Source organism: Homo sapiens, chromosome 5, assembly GCF_000001405.40.
Source record: "Homo sapiens chromosome 5, GRCh38.p14 Primary Assembly".
NCBI classification, from domain to species: Eukaryota; Metazoa; Chordata; class Mammalia; order Primates; family Hominidae; genus Homo; species Homo sapiens.
The window spans coordinates 14,641,766-14,665,757 of record NC_000005.10 but is presented as its reverse complement, the minus strand read 5'-3'; the positions used below and the strand labels follow the sequence as shown (position 1 = coordinate 14,665,757).

The 23,992-nt window shown below is 42.2% G+C and overlaps 1 protein-coding gene, 1 long non-coding RNA gene, 1 other non-coding gene and 1 pseudogene across 8 annotated transcripts in view, besides 5 other annotated features; 3 read left to right on the top strand and 1 right to left on the bottom strand.

Moving 5' to 3' along the window:
- The window catches only part of OTULIN (OTU deubiquitinase with linear linkage specificity), a 51,808-nt gene extending 50,768 nt beyond the window's left edge, over positions 1 to 1,040 (bottom strand). For all 5 annotated transcript variants that reach the window (XR_007058658.1, XM_011514151.3, NM_138348.6 and 2 more), the window contains exon 1: positions 781 to 1,040. Coding sequence is in view for 3 of the 5 variants with exons in the window: in XM_011514151.3 (XP_011512453.1) it covers positions 781 to 932 (152 nt within the window). In the remaining 2 variants the exon portion in view is untranslated. The remainder of the gene's footprint in view (positions 1 to 780) is intronic.
- Positions 683 to 1,262: a silencer, noted in NCBI's record as "silent region_15943". NCBI's record gives its function as "represses an Ori minimal core promoter by ATAC-STARR-seq in GM12878 lymphoblastoid cells {active_cell/tissue: GM12878}" and the evidence as "EXISTENCE:reporter gene assay evidence [ECO:0000049][PMID:35858748]".
- Positions 683 to 1,965: a biological region, named in NCBI's record as "H3K27ac hESC enhancer GRCh37_chr5:14663902-14664704".
- On the top strand, positions 1,154 to 2,659 carry OTULIN-DT (OTULIN divergent transcript). 2 transcript variants are annotated; one of them, NR_168440.1, is made up of 3 exons: positions 1,154 to 1,324; positions 1,707 to 1,879; positions 2,443 to 2,659. It is a non-coding gene; the product is annotated as an OTULIN divergent transcript (long non-coding RNA). The 2 variants fall into 2 exon arrangements; NR_168439.1 differs by having other exon boundaries at positions 1,154 to 2,659.
- Positions 1,163 to 1,965: an enhancer, noted in NCBI's record as "H3K27ac hESC enhancer chr5:14663902-14664704 (GRCh37/hg19 assembly coordinates)". NCBI's record gives its function as "activates a minimal SCP1, AML or CMV promoter by ChIP-STARR-seq in primed H9 embryonic stem cells {active_cell/tissue: H9 hESC(primed)}" and the evidence as "EXISTENCE:reporter gene assay evidence [ECO:0000049][PMID:30033119]".
- On the top strand, positions 12,369 to 14,115 carry EEF1A1P13 (eukaryotic translation elongation factor 1 alpha 1 pseudogene 13; annotated as a pseudogene).
- SNORD141B (small nucleolar RNA, C/D box 141B) lies at positions 13,376 to 13,480 on the top strand. The gene has a single exon (NR_132981.1). It is a non-coding gene; the product is annotated as a small nucleolar RNA, C/D box 141B (small nucleolar RNA).
- Positions 16,914 to 16,983: an enhancer, noted in NCBI's record as "active region_22408". NCBI's record gives its function as "activates an Ori minimal core promoter by ATAC-STARR-seq in GM12878 lymphoblastoid cells {active_cell/tissue: GM12878}" and the evidence as "EXISTENCE:reporter gene assay evidence [ECO:0000049][PMID:35858748]".
- Positions 17,034 to 17,083: an enhancer, noted in NCBI's record as "active region_22407". NCBI's record gives its function as "activates an Ori minimal core promoter by ATAC-STARR-seq in GM12878 lymphoblastoid cells {active_cell/tissue: GM12878}" and the evidence as "EXISTENCE:reporter gene assay evidence [ECO:0000049][PMID:35858748]".

Sequence of the window (23,992 nt, the reverse complement as noted above, 5' to 3'; positions counted from 1 at the left end):
GCATTTAAACACATCTTAAATTTAACTTTCCAGCCAGTTAAAATATCTGTCAAACTGGCTGTCTGTGTGCTTTCATAATTTCTTAAATTCCAAGGGCATTTATAGGTGCCTAAAACTTGAAAGTGTAGAAAAGTTTCACTCGAGTTTCTATTCTGCTTCCACGCGTACCCCCAGACCCTTGCAGAAATTAGGAACTCTTCCCAAATCGTCGTCTTCACAGTACAGTAAGAAATTGATCTAACCAGCACTGACTTTCCTTTTCAAAAGGAAAAGCGGGAAGGCATACTAGTCAGGCCGTTAAAGGGTCAGAGAGAATGGGTCAGATTCTCTTTGGGTCCAAAGTCTGTCCAACAGGTGGGACGTCGCCTCCAAGAACAAGTCGCGCAGCGCCGTTCTCCGGCGGCTGCAGCAGGGTCGACCTCACTTCCTCCCTGTGCCAGGCTGAAGGAAAGATCTAGCGGGAACCAGTAATAAAATACATCACTTCTCGGGTTTGCTTCCCAAGTTTCTGGAACTTTCTTTAACTTCAGACATGCAGATATCAAAAATGAGACGAGAGGGGAGTCACTGTGTGACCAGAATTGTGAGGGGCCCTGGGGTTAAAAATCTGCACTCGGACACTGGGAAAACTGTCTGCCAATTCCTCCTTGTCGCCAACGGCCTCACTCAGAATTGAAGACGCCCAGGACCCTCCGCTGACGACTCCCCACCCCAGCCCGGCTTCCGGAGGGGACCGAGCCCGCCGCCCACGGCCCGCGCCCCGCGCCCCCGCGGACTCACTGCTCGGCCGGGCACTGCATCTCGGGCCGCGGCTGCCCGCTGGCCGCCGCCTTCCCGCCGTCCCGCGCCGTGGCCGCCGCCTCCCGCGCCGGCGTCTCGGCGCAGCTCGCGCCTGGCCACGCTTCGGGCTGGGGCATAGTCCCCCGACTCATGCGGTCGCTCGCGGCCGAAGGGGTTCAGCCGGCTCCGAACGATCCGGAGCCCCTCCCGTCGGGGTGCCAGGCAGTGGCCGCAGCCTCTCAGCCGCCGGGGCGGTTTCCGAGGGCCCGCAGAGCGCTTCCGCGCGCGTCACCGTGGCCCGCCCCACGGCCTCTGACCCTGCGCGAGGAGGTGCGGCCGGAGGCTGAAGGGCCCGGACGCGGCGCATGCGCATACACGTGTGCGGGCTGAGTCGCCGGGGCCTGGAGGGGGAACCGCGCGCTGCGGCTGCTGCGCTTGCTCCGTCCCCGGACGCCGCTGGCTTGCTTCCCTTGTCAGCTGTGTGGGGACTGGCAGAGGGTGTGAGAGCGGGAAACGACCGGACGAGCGGCGGGGAGCGTCCTGGGTGAGGAGGAGGAAGTCTGGTCTTAGGTGTGAAGGATGCTGACGCGTTCCGGCGCGTCGCGGTGCCACTCTCGGCTTCTGAGCGTTGCCCTACGCCGCAGCGGGTTTTCCTCAGCTGTGAAGCGCGGCTGCGTCCTGCCCGGGCTTCCCCCCGCCGGGACGGTTCCAACGCCCGAGCCCAGCGGGCTTGGGCCTCCGCTGTCGGGCCAGGCTAGTTGCTCCGGGGCTGGGAGTTACGGCACCGGGGTTGGGGCGGAGAAGACGAACTAGTTCAACTCGACCCGGTTAAGCAAGCGCAGCAGTGTGTGTTCTTGGATCATAGTATTTCATGTAAACATTTTGATTTAAGAGAAACAAAAGGGAAAATATTAACCGTTTTCAAGCATCCAAAGGCGAAATGCTTCATCTCTGGGATGGAGTAGAGGAGTAGCCTCTGCGGTTGAGTTGCAGTCGTGGGTGCAAGAAGCAGCGCTGAAGCAGAGTGCAGCCCCGGAATAGGGCGGGATGGAATGGCCTGGGCAGTTCAGAAACCCGCGAGGAGTCCAGGGCGGAACAGGTAGGGAGCAGGGGATTGTATTGAAAGATGAAACTGAAAGAGGGGTAGTGGAGACCAGATCATGAAAAGCCATATTAGGCTAACTGTGGCGCTTATGCTTAATCCTCATTGACAGATCTTGAGATCATTTTGAAAAATCACTTTGTCTTCAGTTTGGTAAAAGTTTGGAGAAGGGCAGGACTTGGAAGACCAGCTTAGGGAGACTAAATAGTAGTGACCTCCAAGGGAGAAACTGGACAGAAAGAATATTTATATTTAGTGCCACAGAACTCCGGGGGTATTGTTTTCTCCTTTAATTTTACTTGAAAAAGTAATAAATGCACATACTAAAAAATTCAGAGTGTACAAAAGAATATACAAAGACTATTAAGGTGTGGGATTGAGGAGGGTTGAACAGGATCCCCCAAAATTCACGTCCACCTAGACCCTCACGATATTAACTTACTTGGAAATAGGGTTTTTGCAGATGTAATTGGTTAAGATGAGGTCATACTGGTATAGAATGAGCCCTAAATCGAATGGTTGGCGCCCTTAGAAGGGGACACATAGATAAATGTGCACAGAGGGAAGAAGGCCATTTGGAGATAGAAGCAGGGATTGGAGTGATGCAACTGGAAGCCAAGAAACGCCGCAGAATGCCAGGAGCCAGCAGAAGCTAAGAAAAGGCAAAGAAGGATTATTCCAAAGTGCCTTCCGAAGAAGGTTGGCCCTGCCAAAAACCTGATTTCAGACTTCTAGCCCCCAAAACTGCAAGAGAATAAATTTTGTTGTTTCAAGACACACAGTTTGTGGTCCTTTGTCATGACCACCCCAGGAAACTCATATAGGGATCAAGGTGGAAAGGTTATAAATTCCGTCAGGCCAAATTTATTGATATGGACCCACCAGAGATTCTGGATTCAATGTTTTATCTCAGAGGCTTAGAAAAAGCTCTAATGCTATGTTTAATCGCTGAGTATGTCTTTTCCAATTATGCATGTCAAACTAGGAAAATAACCACAGGATGGGTTTGGGGACCCACTGAGCCCACCGTGAGAAGGATCTGAGTGAAAACTCCATTGATAGTTTAACCTCCATCCACCCAGAAGGGCCTATGCTAAATGAAGTTGAAGCGACAGAACTGCCTAGGTATCTGTAGAGAAAGGTATCCACAGGCTTGGGGAGATTGGAATATTAGAGTGGATTTATCATTTAAGACCTGCTTACCCACCCCAGGAGGGTCCAGAAGACATACCTTTCACCATGACTAAGAAGTAAATTTGTGAGGAGAATCCTAGCATCCTTGAAGATATCTGCGGCTGCTCTTCTCTTTAGTCACATATATCTTACAGTGGAAACTGCTACCATCAAACTAGGATTCCTAAGTGTCCCCCCAGGGTGGCACTTAATTGCCAAAAAGTAGGTGGGCATGATTACTATAATTACCAGCAGAGCTAAAACAATATTGTCTTACTTACAGAGACGTGTGCTGTTGGCTAGTTAATCGTTGTGTCTCTAGGAAACAGATATCCTAACTTGCATCACCAAAATAGTCACAACCTCTCAATCAATTCCCAGACTTGGGCCGGTTTACACTCTCAGAACTCTGAATGAAGGAGAGGCTGGATCCTCTTGAGGAAGGAGTCTGCTACATTGCCAAAAATGTATATTGTTATTTCCCCCGAAGAGACCAATAGCCATCTACCAGGGTAACTGTGCATTGGGGGAAGAGAAATAATCAGATTTGTCAGGGATTACTACACAGTGGCTCTGACCTGATACTAATCTGGGGAAACCAAAAGCTTTACTCGGCCTACCAGTCAGAGTAGAGGCTTAATGGAGGTCGAGTGATCAATGGAGTTTCAGCTCAGGTTCATCTCTCATTAGACCCGTTGAGTCCCTGGACCCATCCTGTGCTATTTCCCCAGTTCCAGAATGCATAATTAAAAGAGATATACTTGGCCGGGCACGGTGGCTCATACCTGTATTACCAGCACTTTGGGAGGCCGAGGAGGGCAGATCACAAAGTCAGTAGTTCAAGACCAGCCTGGCCAACATGGTGAAACCCCGTTTCTACTAAAAATACAACAACAACAACAAAAAAAAATAGCTGGGCGTGGTGGCAGACACCTGTAATCCCAGCTACTCGGGAGGCTGAGGCAGGAAAATCGTTTGAACCTGGGAGGCGGAGGTTGCAGTGAGCCGAGATTGCACCATTGCACTCCAGCCTGGGCGACAGAGCAAGACTCTGTCTCAAAAACAAACAAACAGAGATAGGCTCAACAGCTGGAAGAATCCCCATGTTGGTTCCCTGACCTGTAAAGACTTGTAACGGGAAGGGCCAAGTGGAAGCCACTAGAACTGCTTATACCTATGAGAATAGCAAACTAAAAGCAATGCCACATTCTTGGAGAGATTGTAAAGATAAGTGCCACTGTCAAAGACTTGAAAGTTGCAGAGGTGGTGATAACCACTACATTTCTTTTCCCCTCGCCTATTTGGCATGTGCAAAACAGAAATAGATCTTGGAAAATGACAATAGATTCTTATAAACCTAATTACATGGTGACTCCAGTTGCACTGCCATTTAGATGCTTCATTACTTGAGCAAATCAACACATCTCCTAGTACTTGGTATGCAGCTGTTAATCAGGCACATGCTTTTTCCCTCTATACCTATTAGAAAATACCATCAGAAGGAATTTACCTTCAACTGGCAAGACCACTGTACAACTTCCTGTCCCACTACAGGGCTATATCAACCTTTTAGCCCTATGTCATAATTTAGTCTTCCCCTTCCAAAGAACTTCGTACTGGTCCATTACATTGATGATATTATGCCGATTACTCATGGTGAGCAGGAAGTAGCAATTACTCTAGACATATTGGTAAAATATTTACATGTCTGAAGACAGGAAATAAGTGTCACAAAACATCTGGGGCCCTCCACCTCATGAAATTCCTAGGGGACCAGTATAGGACATGTCAAGATACCACTTGTAAGCTGAAGAATAAGTTGTTGCATTTGGCCCCTTATACAACCAAAAAAAAACACACACACACACACCACAATACCTAGTAGGAGAAGAGAAGGCTCTACAACAGGTCCAGGCTATTGGGCAAGTTGCTCTGCCATTTGGGCCATATGATCCAGCAGATCTGATGGTACTTAAAGTGTCAATGGCCGACTTAAATGTTATTGAGAGGCCACGCACCGTGGCTCACATCTGTAATCCCAGCACTTTAGGAGGCCAAGGGGGGAGGATCACTTTAGCCCAGGAGTTTGAGACCAGCTCCACCTCCACAAAAAAAAAAAAAAAAAAAAAAATGTAATTAGCCAGGTATGGTAGTGCATACCTGTAGTTGTAGTCTGTCCTAACTGCTTGCAAGGCTGAGGCAGGATCCCTTGAGCCCAGGAATTCAAGTTAGAGTGAGCTATGATCATGCCCCTGCACGCCAGCTTAGGCAACAGAGCAAGGCCCTTTCTCCCAAAAGATAAGTAAACACTGTTTAGAATTTTGGCAAGCAACCATAGGTGAATCACAGTACAAACCCTTAGGATTTTGAAGCAAATCTCTGTCATTGTGGGTAACTACTCTACTTTTAAGGAACAACTTTTGGTTTGCTACTGGATCTTAGAAACTGAAAACTTAAAAACAGGCCACCAAGTTAATACGTGACCTGAGCTCAGTGATAAATCATGTTGATGGCATGTAACCTTCATATGATCAGATGAAAATGGCATTGTACTTCTGTGGTTTTCCTCCCCCAAACCCACAACCCCAGTCCAATTAGAAAAAAAAAAAAAATTAGACAATTCCATTAGTGGGGCATCCTACAAAATACTTTACCAGTACTCTTAAAACTGTCAAGGTCATCAAAAACAAGAAATGTATGAGAAACTCACAGCGAAGAGGAGAGATGGCAACTAAATGTAATTCTGGTGTCCTGGGTGGGATCCTGTAACAACAACAAAAAAAAGACATTAGGTTAAACAAGGAAATCTGAATAAACCATGGACTTTAGTTAATATATCAGTACTAGTTCATTAATTGTAACAAATGAAGTGGTTCACTTTGGGTGTAATCCCAGCACTTTGGGTGGCTGAGGCAGGAGGACTGCTTGAGCCCAGGAGTTCAAGATCAGCCTAGGCAACATGGTGAAACCCTATCTCTACAAAGACAAAAATTAGCCAGGTGTGGTGGCGTGCACCTGTGGTCCCAGCTACTCAGGAGGCTGAGGTGGGAAGACTTGTTGAGCCTGGGAGGTTGAGGCAACAGTGAGCCATGATCGCACCACTGCACTCCAGCCTGGGTGACAGAATGAGACCCTGTCTCACAAAAAAAAAAAAAAAAAGTAACAAACTTACCATAATAACGTAAGATGTTAGTAATACAGGAAGTTGGATGCAGAGTATACAGGAACTCTGCACTATCTTCTCAATTTTTCTGTAAATCTAAAACTGTTCTAAAAAATAAGGTCTCTATTTTTTTTTAATCAAAAATAAAACCCAGGTGGGGTGCGGTGGCTCACACCTATAATCCCAGCACTTTGGGAGGCCTAGGTGGGTGGATCACGTGAGATCAGGAGTGCGAGACCAGTCTAGCCAACATGGTAAAGACCCATCTCTACCAAAAAATAAATTAGCCCGGTGTGGTGGCATAAACCTGTAGTCCCAGCTACTCAGGAGACTGAGGTAGGAGAATCACTTGAACCTCGGAGGTAGAGGCTTCACTGAGCTGAGATCGTGCCACTGTACTCCATCCTGAGTGACAGAGTGACACCCTGTCTCCAAATAAATAAATAAACTCAAACCATCATATCATAAAATGTTAAACCAAGACCTTCCAAAATAAGAATATCCAGTCATTGTTCTAACTTTGTACTTTAATTTAAAAAATTCAGTGTTGTCCATGCGTGGTGGCTCATGCCTGTAATCCCAGCACTTTGGGAGGCCAAGGCAGGTGGATCACTTGAGGTCAGGAGTTTGAAACCAGCCTGGGCAACATGGTGAAACCCTGTCTCTACTGAAAATACAAAAATTAGCTGGGCATGGTCGTGATCACCTGTAATCCCAGCTACTCGAGAGGCTGAGGCAGGTGAATCACATGAACCTGGGAGGTGGAGGTTGCAGTGAGCCGAGATTGCTCCACTGTACTCCAACCTGAGCAACAGAGTGACACTCCGTCTCAAAAAAAAAAATTAAAAATTAAATGTTAAATCATTTTGTCTTTATCTTTTAAAATTTCTATTGTGTGTATGTTTCTGGTGTACATAATAAATACAGAGATGCAGCGTGAGTTTTTAATATATTCATATTTGGGATATGCTAATTTTTACTGATATTACAGAACAAAATGATTAGAGGGATGTATATGTGTATTAAATAAATAAGTCAAAAACTAGGGTTTCTTTTTTTTTCCTTTTTTCTTTCTTTTTTTTTTTTTTTTTGAAATAGAGTCTCGCTTTGTCTCCCAGGCCGGAGTGCGGTGGCGTGATCTCAGCTCACTGCAACCTCTGCCTCCCCGGTTCAAGCAATTCTCCTGCCTCAGCCTCCCAAGTAGCTGGGACTACAGACGCCTGACACCACGCCCAACTAATTTTTTTTTTTTTTTTGTATTTTTAGTAGAGACAGGGTTTCACCATGTTGGCCAGGCTTGTCTCCAACTCCTGACCTCAAGTGATCTGTCCGCTATGGCCTCCCAAAGTGTTGAGATTACAAGCATGAGCCGCCACGCCCGGCCAAACACTAGGGTTTCTTAGAGACAGTCATGAGAATAAAACCCATGAACTGTGATATAATTATAACAGCCTATGCTTATGTCAAGATAAATAACATAAAAACCCATAAGCTTAAGTAAAAGTCTATGTAATCACTTACAAACAATGCGTCAGTTTTCAGTTTCTTCTTAGAATCAAACATTAGATAAATACGGTATTGTAATTTGCAAATATTTGGTAACTTACATTTTCAATCAATCACCTTGAATTTATATATCTGCTTCAGTGGCCATGCCTAGAATATTTAATATGTGAAAGATTCCACATTCCTTTTCACTGAATGCTGTAGTCCTTACTTGTAATAACTGTTCCCAAAGAACAATGCTAAGCCATTACAGTGTTCTTATTTTTAAAAATTTTCTTTAAGGAGCTTAACACAAGTTGGATGCATATTCCCCCTTTTCAATACTATAAACTCATAATTTACAGTCAGGTTAAAATACCCTATATTTTTATACTCTCTGGAATTTCCCAGTGCCACAGCAATAAAAATTAGATTTGAAGTGTATTCTGTACATCAATCTCTAAAGTACTCACAGGAAAGGTACTTTTTAGTTTATTCTAGTTTTATAGGTTCATGGACTGTAACCAAGCTTTGGAAGAAACTATTGTCAGTTTCACTTAGAAATTAACTACTCTAGGAATACTCAAGTATTAATTTTAAAGACTTATTCAAAATGCCTCTTGATTATTGAATGCCCATTTCTGTATTTTTTATTTTTTTCATTTTACTTTAAGTTCTGGGATACATGTGCAGAGCATGCAGGTTTGTTACATAGGTATACATGTGCCATGGTGGTTTCCTGCACCTGTCAACCCATCATCTAGGTTTTAATTGAATGCCCATTTTTAAAAAACAGAATTAGAGGGGGAAAAAACCTACTATGCTTTTGTAGTTTTGAAGCTAAAGGAAATAACTTTATAGAGAAAAAATAGAGGAAATCGCTCAATAGAAAAAATATCTTGCTGTAAAATTAGTTTACCTGGAAACCCCCAAAACTTTCCCCAGGAGTTTTTATTGGGAGAAGTATGGGTCATAATGAAATTTATTTTATCATGAAAATGAAACCATTTTATATATAAGGAGGAGAGAGAATGATGCCATTATAATTCACAGACTTGGAGTTCTGGAAAATATTAAATCAGTCATTTGCCTCTAGCTAAACGGAATTTCACCCTTAAGAATCATCCAGGCAGATGATAATCTTAACTTTTTTGGAGAGCTTCTGAAATGGAATTCCATACTCTTGGTAGCTTAGTTTCTGCTATAGATTGAATTACTGAATTGTGTCTCCCCAAAATTCATATGTTGAAGTCCTAACCCCCAATGTGACTATATTTGGAGATAGGGCCTACAAGGATTACAGGTTAAATGAGGTCAAAATAAAGATTAAATGAGGTCAAAAGGGTTGGGCCCTAATATGAAGGGGCTGGTGTCCTTATAAGAAGAAGAGATGCCAGAGCTCACTGTGTGAGGACACAGCAAGAAGACAGCCATCTGAAAACCAGGAAGAAAGCCATTACCAGAAACTGAATCAGCTGGCACCTCAATCTTACTTTCCGGCCTCCGGTACTGTGAGAAAATATCTGTTATTTAAGCCATCTAGTCTTGGTATCTTGGTCTGCTAGGGCCAGGTAATTCCCTACAGAGTAATTCCCTACACTTACCTTTTAGGACAAGCATATGGGTTTCTTTGGAAAGGAAGCCCATCATTGATGTCACATAGTGGAACTTAAAAAGAGCTAGAGGGACAAATCATAGATGTTTCCTAAGAAAATAAAGGTAAGGAAGAGACCCTTTGTCACTTACAGGAAACCTTCACCTCCTCAAGTAGTCTGATGTTAGGTTGATGATTCTCTCACAGCCTGACCTTGTCTCCATGGTAGTCACAAGGAAAAGCATCACCCTACTGTGATGGTTAATATTTAGTGTTAACTTGATTGGATTGAAGGATGCAAAGTATTGTTCCTGGGTGTGTCTGTGAGGGTGTTTGTTGCCAAAGGAGATGAACATTTGAGTCAGTGGACTGGGAAAGGCAGAGCCACCCTCAATCTAGGTGGCTAGAATTAAAAAAAGCTAGAATAAAAGCAGGCAGAAGAACATGAAAAAAAGCTAAAATAAAAGCAGGCAGAACGTGAAAAGACTAGACTGGTTTAGTCTTCTGACCTACATCTTTCTCCTGTGCTGGATGCTTCCTGCCCTCAAACATTGGACTCCAAGTTCTTCAGCTTTGGGACTCGGACTGGCTTCCTTGCTCCTCAGCTTGCAGACAGCCTATTGTGGGACGTCACCTTGTGATCATGGGGGTCAATACTCCTTAATAAACTCCCCTTTATATATACATCAATCCTATTAGTTTTGTCTCTTTAGAGAACCATAACTAATATACCTACTATTACCAAAAACTCTACTTGTGAGAAGGTAGGTTGTCAACCTTATCTTTAAAAATCATACCAGGATATTACTGGCAAAGTCACAAGGGCTTTCTGGATCTTCTGCTAATATTTTGTCTCACACATTTTTCTTTCGTCTTGGTCCAGAATTTAGGAATAAGAATGTATAGAATTTCATCACTATTGCATCATTCCTATAGACCTTGGCAGCCAGAATCCATCTTAAAATAGTGGTCTTCAAACTGAGGCACTTGTATCTCCTGAGGTGCAGCAACACCAATTTTATACAGCTGTGCAGCAAAGGCCCTGGAGTAGAAGATACGCTTTACAGGTGCCTGAGGGCGTAAATAGGCCTGTGCTCCTTTCTAACCACTTCCTTCATGTTTACCATATCCCTGCTTAACGAAATAACAAAAGGTTCTCAGCCATGCCAAACCTTTCTACAGTGTGTGCCTCAAGAGCTACATTGTCCAATACAGTAGCCAGTAGGCAAGAGTGCCTCCTGAGCACTTGAAATGTAGCTGGTCAGAATTAAGATTTGCTGTTTGTGAAAAACACAGGATTTTAAGGACTTAGTACACCCCCTAAAAAGAATGTAAAATAATCACATAATTTTTTTTGAGACAGGGTCTCACTCTGTTGCCCAAGCTGGAGTGCAATGGAATGATCATAGCTCACTGCAGTCTCGACCTCCCAGACTTAAGTGATCCTCCCATCTCAGCCTCCCAAGTAGCTGGGACTACAGATGCACAGCACCATGCCCAGCTAATTTTTTATATTTGTAGACAGAGGGTTTCACTATGTTGTCCAGGATGGTCTCAAACTCCTGGGCTCAAGCGATCCTCCTGCCTCAGCCTCACAAAGTACTGGGATTACAGGCATGAACCACCACACCCAGCCTATAATTTTAAAATATTGATTATATGTTGGCAAAATTTTGGAAATACTGCATTATATAAGATACTAATTTCAACTGTTGCTTTTAGCTTTTTTAATATGGCTACTAGAAAATCTTAAGTTATGTATGATGCAGCTCACATTATATTTCTATTGCATGGTGGTGTTCTAGAGCTTCAAATCAGATGGACAACTTAAATACTTCTTTCAGACAAGCCTACAATAAGGCACCGGAAACTTGCATTTGGTTTCTTTCTTTCAAGTCTTTCCTTTTCTTCCCTTAAGAGTGGGTATTTTGATATTTAAGCGGAGTATTTTTGCCAGTATGTTAACTCAGATGTATCATAGAGTGGGTTAGTAAGGGTGATGTAGTGTAGCAAACAGAAAACTAGCTATGTGACCTTGGGCAAGTATTTAACTTCTCTGAGACTCAACTTTCAAGCTTTTAGTTTCCCTAAAAGATGACTTGCTCTTGAGGGAGTCTTGGAAGAACAAAGCAGAGAGTATTGGTAAAAAGTATTGGTGGCATCTTATGTCATCAAGGTGACAGACTCATGGTAAAGCTCTCTGCCTTACCTAATGTTCACCTTAGAATGAAGATTTAAAGTGGGATGGCTGCCTTACTGTACATCCCAGAAATGGAAAAGGAGATCTACTCTTAATAATTAGATAATCATTCCTTTGAAATTCAGGTGATTTCTAATTCCTTGCTTTGAACAAATTTGAGGGACAGCCTAAAGTTATTAGCTGATGATTAAAAATAATATTTCATGAGAGATTACTAAGATATTTTTGCCATGCAATTCAGAAGCTCAAGGATTTGATTTTGTGATAACAAAACTATTTCCACCTATTTATAAGGACAGTGTTTCATAGTGTTTATAAAATCCAAAAATAGGAATAGAATTGAATTAAATCCTATCTCTTTCTAACAGTAAATCATATTCATCAATAGATCTGGAGTACAGTGGTGCAGTCATAGCTCACTGCAGCCTCAAACTCCTGGGCTCAAGCAATCCTCCCGCCTCAGCCTCCTGAGTAGCTGAGGCTACAGGCACATGCTACCACACCCAGCTAATTTTTTTTATAAAGACAGAGTCTCACCATGTTGTCCAAGCTGGTCTTGAATTCCTGGTTTCAAGTAATTCCCCTGCCTTGGCTTCCCAAAGTGCTGGGATGGCAGGCATGAGCAACCATGCCCAGCTTTCATCAATAGATTTTGAAAGAGATGTTTATAATCAAATTTTACTAAGTATATGTAACAATTACCAACATTTAAATATGCTGTTTTGATCAGATTTTTATGGCTAATGTTACAATGAAACTTTCAAGTAAATTTAAGTAATAAAAGACCTTCAAACATAAAAATATATTGCATTAAGTAGAATTCTGCGAATGGGAAACAGAAAGGAAATTCAATAAGAAAAAGGAATGATGGCTTTTTCGCAACGGGTTTGCCGCCAGAACACAGGTGTCATGAAAACTACCCCTAAAAGCCAAAATGGGAAAGGAAAAGACTCATATCAACATTGTCGTCATTGGACACGTAGATTCGGGCAAGTCCACCACTACTGGCCATCTGATCTATAAATGCAGTAGCATCGACAAAAGAACCATTGAAAAATTTGAGAAGGAGACTGCTGAGATGGGAAAGGGCTCTTTCAAGTATGGCTGGGTCTTGGATAAACTGAAAGCTGAGCGTGAACGTGGTATCACCATTGATATCTCCTTGTGGAAATTTGAGACCAGCAAGTACTATGTGACTATCACTGATGCTCCAGGACACAGAGACTTCATCAAAAACATGATTACAGGGACATCTCAGGCTGACTGTGCTGTCCCGATTGTTGCTGCTGGTGTTGGTGAATTTGAAGCTGGTATCTCTAAGAATGGGCAGACCCGAGAGCATGCCCTTCTGGCTTACACACTGGGTGTGAAACAACTAATTGTTGGTGTTAACAAAATGGATTCCACTGAGCCACCCTACAGCCAGAAGAGATATGAGGAAATTGTTAAGGAAGTCAGCACTTACATTAAGAAAATTGGCTACAACCCCGACACAGTAGCATTTGTGCCAATTTCTGGTTGGAATGGTAACAACATGCTGGAGCCAAGTGCTAACATGCCTTGGTTCAAGGGATGGAAAGTCACCCGTAAGGATGGCAATGCCAGTGGAACCATGCTGCTTGAGGCTCTGGACTGCATCCTACCACCAACTCGTCCAACTGACAAGCCCTTGCGCCTGCCTCTCCAGGATGTCTACAAAATTGGTGGTATTGGTAGTGTTCCTGTTGGCCGAGTGGAGACTGGTATTCTCAAACCCGGTATGGTGGTCACCTTTGCTCCAGTCAACGTTACAACAGAAGTAAAATCTGTCGAAATGCACCATGAAGCTTTGGGTGAAGCTCTTCCTGGGGACAGTGTGGGCTTCCATGTCAAGAATGTGTCTGTCAAGGATGTTCGTCGTGGCAACGTTGCTGGTGACAGCAAAAATGACCCACCAATGGAAGCAGCTGGCTTCACTGCTCAGGTGATTATCCTGAACCATCCAGGCCAAATAAGCGCTGGCTATGCCCCTGTATTGGATTGCCACACGGCTCATATTGCATGCAAGTTTGCTGAGCTGAAGGAAAAGATTGATCGCCGTTCTGGTAAAAAGCTGGAAGATGGCCCTAAATTCTTGAAGTCCGGTGATGCTGCCATTGTTGATATGGTTCCTGGCAAGCCCATGTGTGCTGAGAGCTTCTCAGACTATCCACCTTTGGGTCGCTTTGCTGTTCGTGATATGAGACACACAGTTGCGGTGGGTGTCATCAAAGCAGTGGACAAGAAGGCTGCTGGAGCTGGCAAGGTCACCAACTCTGCCCAGAAAGCTCAGATGGCTAAATGAATATTATCCCTAATACCTGCCACCCCACTCTTAATCAGTGGTGGAAGAACGGTCTCAGAACTGTTTGTTTCAATTGGCCATTTAAGTTTAGTAGTAAAAGACTGGTTAATGATAACAATGCATCGTAAAACCTTCAGAAGGAAAGGAGAATGTTTTGTGGACCACTTTGGTTTTCTTTTTTGCATGTGGCAGTTTTAAGTTATTAGTTTTTAAAATCAGTACTTTTTAATGGAAACAACTTGACCAAAAATTTGTCACAGAATTTTGAGACCCATTAAAAAAGTTTAATGAGAAAAAAAAAGAAAAAAGGAATGATGTAAAATTATAGTTTTTTATGAATGATAATGAATTTCTAGTGTGTTAGATTCTATCGGAAATAAGTCATGATTATTTTAAAATATCTATAATACAATGGAAATTATATCCTTTAAAACTAAGTTTCTCATAGAAAATTTTATTTTATTTTATATATAATGTACATATTTTGGGGGACATGTGATAATACATTCATATAGTAAAGATCAACTTAGTGTAATTGGGATGTCCATCACCTTAAATATTTGTTTTTTTTAATGCTAGAAACATTCAAATTCTCTTTTAGCTATTTTGGACTGTACAATATAGATTATTGTAACTACTGATCTATCAAACACTATGTCTCATTTCTTCCATCAAACTATATATTTTTACCCATTAATCAACATTTCTTCATCCCTCCTCCTCCCTACTCTTCTCAACCTCTAGTAATCACCAGTCTACTCTCATGAGATCCACTTTTTTTTGTCTCCCACATATGATTGAGAACATGAAATGTGTGGCTTTCTGTGCTTGACTTATTTCAGTTAGCATAATGACCTCCAGTTTTTTTTCATGTTGCTGCAAATGACAGGATTTCATTCTTTTTTGTGGCTGAATAACATTCTATTGTGTATATATATCACTTTCTTTCTTTTTTTTTCTTTCTTTCTTTTTTTCTGTCTGTCTCTCTCTCTCTCATTCTCTCTTTCTTTCTTTCTTTTGACAGGGTCTCATTTATGTTACCCAGGCTGCTGGTCTTGAACTCCTGGCCTCAAGTGATTTTCCTCCCTCAGCCTCCAGAGTAGCTGGAAACACAGGCACGCACCACCACGCCCAGCTAATTTTTTATGTTTTGTAGAGACGAGGTCTCCTTGTGTTGCCCAGGCTGGTCTCGAACTCTTCACTTTGTTGATTGTTTCCTTTGCCGTGCAGAAGCTTTTTAGTTTTATGTAATCCCATTCTGTTTTTGCTTTGGTTGCCTGTGCTTTTGAGGTCTTACACAAAAAAATCTTTGTCCAGACCAATGTCCTGGAGCATTTCCCCATTTTTTTCTTCTAGTAGTTTTCATAGTTTCAGGTCTTAGATGTAAGTCTTTACTCTATTTTGATTTTATTTCTGTATGTGGTAAGAGGGATCTAGTTTTATTCTTCTGCATATGGTTATTCCGTTTTCCCATTACCATTTATTGAAGAGACACTCCTTTCCCAATTGTACATTCTTAGCACCTGTACCAAAAATGAGTTGACTGTAAATGTATGCATTTATATCTGGGTTCTCTCTTCTGTTTCACTGGTCTATGTGTCTGTTTTCATGCCAGTAGCATGCTGATTTTGATTACTGTCATTCTGTAGCGTATTTTGAAATCAAGCAATGTGATGCCTCCAGCTTTGTTCAGCTTTGTTCTTCCTTTTTTTTTTTTTTTCTTAAGTGTCTTGTTCTGCTACCCAGGCTGGAGTGCGGTGGCATAGTTTACTACAGCCTTAAAGTCCAGGGCTCAGACGATCCTCTTGGCTTAGCCTCCTGAGTAGTTAGGACTACAGGCACATGCTACCATGCCCAGCTAATTTTCTTTTTAATTTCTTGTAGTGACAGAGTCTCACTGTGTTGCCCAGGCTGGTCTCAGACTACTAGCCTCAAGCAAATCCTACTGTCTTGGCCTCTCAAAGAGCTAGGATTACAGGCATGAACCACTGTGCTTGGCCAGCTTTTCTTCTTATAAGGACATACAGTTGTCCCTCAGTATCCATGGGGGATTGATTCCAGGACCCCTCATGAATACCAAAATCTGAGGATGTTCAGTTCCTCATATAAAGTGGTGTAGCATTTGCATATAACCTATGCATATCCTCCCATATAGTTTAAATCATCTCCAGATTACTTATAATACCTAATGTAGTGTAAATGTTATGTAAATAGTTGTTAAACTTTTTATTTGTATTATTTTTTGTTGTATTATTTTTAATTATTTTTTTCTGAATTAAAAAAAAAATCTTCAGTTGGTTGAATCCACAGATGTAGAACCGGCAGATACAGAGAGCTGACTGTAATCCCACGGATTAGGGTCCTACCCTTATGATCTCATTTAACCTTAACTGCTTTTCCTTAGAGGCCTAATCTCCAAATACAGTCACATTGGGGGTCAGAGCTTCAACATATGAATGGTGGGGGAGGGGCACAAACATTCAGTCCATAATATTTATTGATCTGTATATACCTTATTCTTAACCCAGTGTATAGTATACACTGCTCCTTAATAAATTTTTGTTACATGATTTAATATTAATTCCTTATGTCAGTATTATAATGACCATATAGTATGGCAGAGAAAAAAATAGCTATGTAACCTTAGGCAAGTTATTTAACATTTCTGAGCCTCAGTTTCTTTGATGCAAAATCTGGATAGTACCTGCTGTCTTATAAATATGAGGATTAGAAGGGAGGTGTGTCAAAGGTCCAGAACACTGCTTGTGAAATTATCACTATATCTAACACTTGCTTAGCACTTTATAGTTTATGAAGCACTTTTCATACACCATCCCACTGAGTTAAGACCTGAACTGGTCAGAGCACCAAGCCTAGTGTTCTTTCCACTGTACAGAATGATCTAAGACCTCATGGAACATGTTAATTTTAAGTAACCTTAGACTTCACTAGGTCATAATTTCTGTTTTATCCAACAAAGTAACTTAGTGAATTGGTCTGGTCCTTGGGGTAGTCAAGAGGCCAGAATAAGAAATCTTCCTGGTAGAGAGAGAAAACTGTTAGGTGTTTTAATAGCTATTCTCCTGCAAAATTAATCAGCTACTTGCAATTTCCTTACATTATTTTTCATATAATTTAGTCAAAGCTTTGTGGATAAACCCAATCATGGACACTAGGTGGCACCACAAGACCTTGCCCTGAGCCAGTTCCTGTCAGCCCGATAGCTCTTCCCCACCATTACAGCCTAGTTTTTTAGCAGTCTGGAATGAAGAAAACGTAGAGAAATCTTCCTTTTCTGTGTAGAAAGAATCTATAAAGAAGTTTTCTTTCTAAGGGATTGATTTCCTACTGTGAATATTATGTAGAGGAATAAGGCTCTCACAACAAACTACAGCCAGGAGAGTTGAACTGAGTCCAAATGCTGCTACTTAACAGCTGGCTTTCTTGGAAAAAGTATATTTCCTGTCCTGTGTGCATCTCTCTGGATTACTGGGAGGACCAAATGAAGTTGCATGTGAGAACTGCCAAGTACTACAGTTAAAAACACTGATTCGGGCCGGGCGCGGTGGCTCACGCCTGTAATCCCAGCACTTTGGGAGGCCGAGGCAGGCGGATCACGAGGTCAGGAGATCAAGACCATCCTGGCTAACACGGTGAAAACCCATCTCTACTAAAAATACAAAAAATTAGCCGGGCGTGGTGGTGGGCGCCTGTAGTCCCAGCTGCTTGGGAGGCTGAGGCAGGAGAATGGTGTGAACCCAGGAGGTGGAGCTTGCAGTGAGCCGAGATTGCGCCACTGCACTCCAGCCTGGGCGACAGAGCAAGACTCTGTCTCAAAAAAATAAAATAAAATTCAAATTAAAAAAACAAACAAACAAAAACACTGATTCAGCTGGGTGCAGTGGCTCACGCTTGTAATCCCAGCACTTTGGGAGGCCGAGGTGGGCGGATCACGAGGTCAGGAGTTCAAGACCAGCCTGGCCAATATGGTGAAACCCCGTCTCTACTAAAATAAATATATATATATACAAAAAAAACTAGCTGGGCATGGTTCCAAACCAGCCTGGCCAATATGGTGAAACCCCATCTCTACTAAAAAAAAAATATATATATATATATATATACAAAAAAAACTAGCTGGGCATGGTTCCAGACCAGCCTGGCCAATATGATGAAACCCCGCCTCTACTAAAAAATGTATACATACACAAAAAAACTAGCTGGGCATGGGACTACTAGCGTGCGCCTGTAGTCCCAGCTACTCAGGAGGGTGAGGCAGGAAAAACTCTTGAACCCGGGAGGAGGAGGTTGCAGTAAGCCGAGATTGCACCACTGCACGGCACTCCAGCCTGGGCAATACAGGGAGACTCCGCCTCAGAAAACAACAACAACAACGAAAAACACTGATTCTTCCTGCCTCCAAAACTCTCCTCTTTGTGGGAGGCCCCACCCTTGGACCATCTGTGGGCCCCTCTGCTGCCTTGGTCCCTGCCTACTTTTCAAGATCACTCTCAAACATTTATAAAGGACTTCAGCAACAGATCTATTAATTTCAGCATTCACTCAAACAAACAACTGAAACAATCCGTAATGTCCACACCACTGGCTTTAACTTCTCTTCATCAGCTTAGTCCAGTGGCTACACTCTAGACCTTGTCATCATCCAGAAGTGGACCAATACCCTTAAAATAGTCAACTTTGGATTCCACTCTCCGTCAGGTCACCTCTCCTTTCATCTCTCCCATTTGTTCATCAATTGCACTGTGACTTGCAGCTCCTTTGCTCCTTCCCTTTCTCCCTGTTTGTCAGCCCCCCTCTCTGCACACACCCCTGTACCCTCTTGCCTTTGCTGGTTACGGTAAGCAGCTACTCTCGTGAACACCTACAACTCTCTCACCTCTTTGTCCTAAGTGCCACCATCCCTCTACCCCTCAACCCTGGACCAGTTCAGCCGTTTGTTTGAGGGAATGTGGATTATTGAACTGTAAGTGCACGGCATAGAATTGAATTGCTACTCTGCAGCAACTGGCTGTGCAATTCTGAGCAGGTTATTAATCCTCTGAGCATCAGTCTTGGGTATGTAGAAGGAAGAGAACATCTACCTATAGGAGAATTAAGAGAGGTAACAAGTAAAAAGAGATTTTTTGAAGTGTATGTTTATGCTTTTACCTTTTACATCATCCATATGTGACCTTTTCTCAGTGATCCAGAGGTCTCTGGAGAGCCAGGAGGTGAATGTGTAGGCTAGGATTATTAAAGTAAAAATATACAAAAAGTTAGTATAGTTTACTTCTAATATAGGTAAGAAACGATGCGAAAGGAAGAAAAGACTTTGAGACTCAAAACTAAAGTTCTGATCTGTAAGGCTTACAGATTATGCCAGAAAACAGTTTGGAAAGAGAATAGGGGAAAACCCACCACAATCAGAGAGGATAATGAGGACCAACGATGAGGAGACTGAGCAGGGCACACCACAAAGAAAATGGGCAGGGAGAGGAGAGGAACTGGGCTTGTCCCTTTTCAAGAGTCCATCATGCACAGAAGCCCAAGAAACCAAGGTAGATCCCTTGACCCCCCAACAGTGAGGATGTGGAAGGACAATCCACAGCAGATATTTGTGTCATCCTCAAACCAACTACTGTCCTCATTAAAACACCACAAGACTATTATTAGCCCCATTTTACTGAATAGGAAAGTAAGTGGCAGAGAGGATTTTAACCCAGGCAGCTGGCTTCAACAGCCATGTTCTTAAGCGCCATACCACGCTACCTCTTGATAAGCATCAATTCTCTATCCCCACCTCCAACTCCTCCTCTATTAAAAGCCAGGATGAAGGAGCACAGTTAGAAAAATTAGGCTACTGTGTGCTTCATGCTATTACTATTTAAAGCCTAAACTCAGCTGGGCTTTCGGTTCTGCGCCATCATCTTATGTTCTTGCCCTGCTCCCTTCCGCAAGTCCTGCAGTGGGTCTCTGAAGCCCTCATCGTTCAGTGCCCTCTTGACTTTATGCAGTGAATTTGCCTGTGAGTCATAGAGAAAATCAGTGCCATTGAGGGCGAACTCTTAGCTTTTCTCTTTCCCCCAACTAAATTATCTTCAAGGGCGCTGTCTCAACCTCCTTTCCAGCCAGTTTCTGAGGAAGAGCTGTCTTTCCTATTTCAGACCATCCCCCCTCTTTCCCTTTCACATCCTCCAGGGTTTCCACTGAGTGCCTCTTTTTCCAGTATCTTCAGCCTCTCTCTCTCTCTGCTAAATTCTCCCAGCATAAACAAAGTCTTTTCTTCCTTTCGCATCGTTTCTATCCATAATTGTCCTAGACGTCAGAAACTGCCAAGCACCAGTCCCTGAACCCGTCCTAAGTAGTGCTGAAATTTCACTAATTTATGAAGAAAAAAGAGAAAAATCATAATGGAATTTTTCATTAAGCTAAAGTAATTAAAATGATTTTCCTTTGTTCTGACATTATGGCCTTTTTTTTTTTCACTTTTAAAATATTTTTTATACTGCCTTTTGGAAGTGTGAAGACTTTGCAGAGAAAAGAAAAAAACCTCTTTGCCATGTTAAGCCATTGGGATTTGGGGCTTCTCTGTTACCGTGCATGACCTAGCCCAGAAGCTCACAAGCATTTTAGTCTCAGAACATCCCTACATTATTTATACTCTTAAAAATTATTAAGGACTTGTAGTAACTGTATGTTTTACATTTCTGTATCCTTTGTATGCTTTGGTGTCTGGGGCCTTGCTGACCAGGCAAAGGCTACCCCTCCCAGAGGTAGCTAATTATTCCTAGAGATGGAAAACAATTATCCTGTGACCAAACTTGTATATGCAAACCATCCAATCAAAAGCCCATACCCCCAGCTGTTCCCTTTCTCAGACTCTCACAGGGCTACTCAACTTCAGAGCACTATTCCCCTGTCTTAATCACCTGAGGGCAAGGTACCAGACCACTCTGAGACAACCCTGGAGCCCGCTGAAATTATTCAAATTAGCTGATTCTAAGCCTGCTTACCCTTTCTCACCCATTCCTGAATGCACACATCACAATCAAGGCTCTTGCCCATGCTTTCCCCTCATTCCTGCCTCCCAGCAGACCCTGGTGCTTCCTTGTGTGGCCCTGAATGCTGTGGTGTGTGCTCCTTCCTTTTGGGAACTGTGAGTAACAAACTATCCTTTCAATGGCAGTCATCTCCTGATCTATTGGCCTCACTATACCTGAATGATAATAAAACCTGCATTTTAAAACAGGACCTTAATGTGTTTTTGTTTATGTGGGTTCTACATATTGATATTTATTGGATTATATATTAAAATTGGGGAAATTTTTAATAGATACTAATTTTTAAAAAAATAACTCATGTCACGTTACCATAAGTAACTTTTTTATATTGAAAACCTGTATTTTCCAAAACTGAAAAGTGGTGAGAAAAGTAACATTGTTTCAACTTCTGCAAATCTCTTTAATATCTGCCTTAACAGAATGAAGCTAGATTTTTCAGGTCTGCTTCTGTATTCAAACAGCTGCAATATCATACTCTGGAAAACTCCACAATATATTCATGAGAGATTGAGAGTGAATAAGACAAATAACATTTAGTATTATTAAGAAATTGGTTTTGACCTCATAGATCCACTGAAGGATTGCCAGACCACATTTAAGATTTTCTTGGCCAGGTGTGGTAGCTCACGCCTGTAATCCTAGCACTTTGGGAGGCTGAGACGGGCAGATCACCTGAGGCCAGGAGTTCGAGACCAGCCTGGCTAACATGGTGAAACCCCATTTCTACTAAAAATACAAAAAATTAGCCAGGCGTGGTGGCGCACACCTATAATCCCAGCTACTCAGGAGGCTGAGGCAGAATGACTTGAACCCAGGAGGCGGAGGTTGCAGTGAATCAAGATTGCGCCATTGCACTCTACCTTGGGCAACAAAAGCAAAACTCCGTCTCAAAAAAAAAAAAAAATTATTTTCCAGTGGTTAAATTCCTGGAAACAAGCAACCTCCCAAGATTGAACTAGGAAGAAATTAAATCCTGGAATATTAAAATAACTTAGAGTGTAATTTGGATTGCTTGTAACTCAAAGAATAAATGCTTGAGGGGATGGATATCCCATTCCCCATGATGTATTTATTTCACATTGCATGCCTGTATCAAAACATCTCATGTATCCCATAAATATAGACACCTACTATGTACCCACACAAATTTTAAAAATAAAGAAGGAAAAAAAACCCCCAAACATACCAATAATGAGTAACAAGATTGAATCAGTAATAAAAAATCTCCCCCAACCCCAGAAAAGCCCAAAACCAGACGGATTCACCATCTGGTTTTGGGCTTTTTTTGTGGGGGTAAGATTTTTATTAACTGAGCCAAATTCTACCAAACACACAAAGATAGATACCAAGAGGAGTTAATACCAATCTTCATGAAACTATTCCATAAAAGGAGGAAAGAATTCTCCCTAACTCATTCTATGAGGCCAGTATCACTCTGATATGAAGAAACGGACAAGGACACAATAAGAAAAAGAACTATAGACCAATATCCCTGATGAAATTAGATGCAAAAAAAAAAAAAAAACCCTCAACAAAATACCAGCAAATTGAATCCAACAGCACAGCAAAAAGATAATACACCAGGATTACATAGAATTTATCCCAGGGATGCAGGGATGGTTCAAACATATGCAAATCAATAAATGTGATACATCACATATACAAATGGACAAATACCAAATGATCATCTCAATAGATACAGAAAAAGCATTTGATAAAATTCAACATCCCTTCATGATAAAAATCCTCAACAAACTAGGCATAGAAGGAGCATACCTCACCTTAATAAAGGCAGTATATAACAAACCTATAGCCAGCATCGTACTTAACAAGGAAAACTTGAAAGCGTTCCCTCCAAGAACTGGAACAAGACAGGGATATCCTCTTTCACCAAATCTTATTCAATATAGTACTGTAAGTCGTTGCCAGAGCAGTCAGGCAAGAGAAAAAAAAGGCATCCAATTTGGAAAAGAGGAAGTCAAATTATTCCTATTGGCTGATGATATGGTTTTTGTTTTGTTTTGTTTTTTCTTTTTGAGATGGAGTCTCACCTGTCACCCACGCTGGAGTGCAGTGGTGCGATCTCGACTCACTGCAACCTCCGCCTCCCAGGCTCAAGCGATTCTCCTGCCTCAGCCTCTCAAGTAGCTGGGATTACAGGCACCAGCCACAATGCCTGGCTAATTTTTGTATTTTTAGGAGAGACAGGATTTCACCATGTTGGCCAGGCTGGTCTCAAACTCCTGACCTCAGGTGATCCACTGGTCTCAGCCTCCCAAAGTGCTGGGATTACAGGTGTAAGCCACCACATCTGGCCTGATGATATGATTTTATATCTGGAAAACCCTAAAGACTTCACCAAAAAACCTCTTAGATTTGATAAATGAATTCAGTAAAGCTTCAGGGTACAAAATTAATGTACAGAAATCAGTAGTGTTTGTCTACATCAGTGATTTAGCTGAGGACCAAGTTAAGGAGGCAACTCTATTTACAATAGCTACAAACAAAATAAAATACCTAGGAATATGTTTAACAAGTGAGGTGAATAATTTCTATAAGGAGAACTACAAAATACTGATAAATGAAATTGTAGATGACACAAACAAATGGAAAAATATCCCATGCTCATGGATTAGAAGAATCAATATCATTAAAATGACTGTACCACCTAGCTAGCATGGTGAAACCCTTTCTCTACAAAAAATACAAAAAATTAGCCAGGTGTGGTGGTGGGCACCTGTAGTCCCAGCTACTTGGGAGGCTGAGGCAGGAGAATAGTGTGAACCCAGGAGGCGGAGCTTGCAGTGATCCCAGATTGCGCCACTGCACTCTGGCCTGGGCGACAGAGCGAGACTCTGTCTCAGAAAAAAAAAAAAAAAAAAAAAAAAAAAGACTGTATTGCCCAATGCAATCTATAGATTCACTGCAATCCCTATCAAAAACATACATTTTTCACAGAATTAGAAAAAACTAAAAAAAAATAAAATAAATAAAAAACTATCCTAAAATTCATATGGAATCTAAAAAGAGCCTGAACAGCCAAGGCAATCCTAAGCAAAAAGAACAAAGCTGGTCCAGGTGTGGTGGTTCACTCCTATAATCCCAGCACTT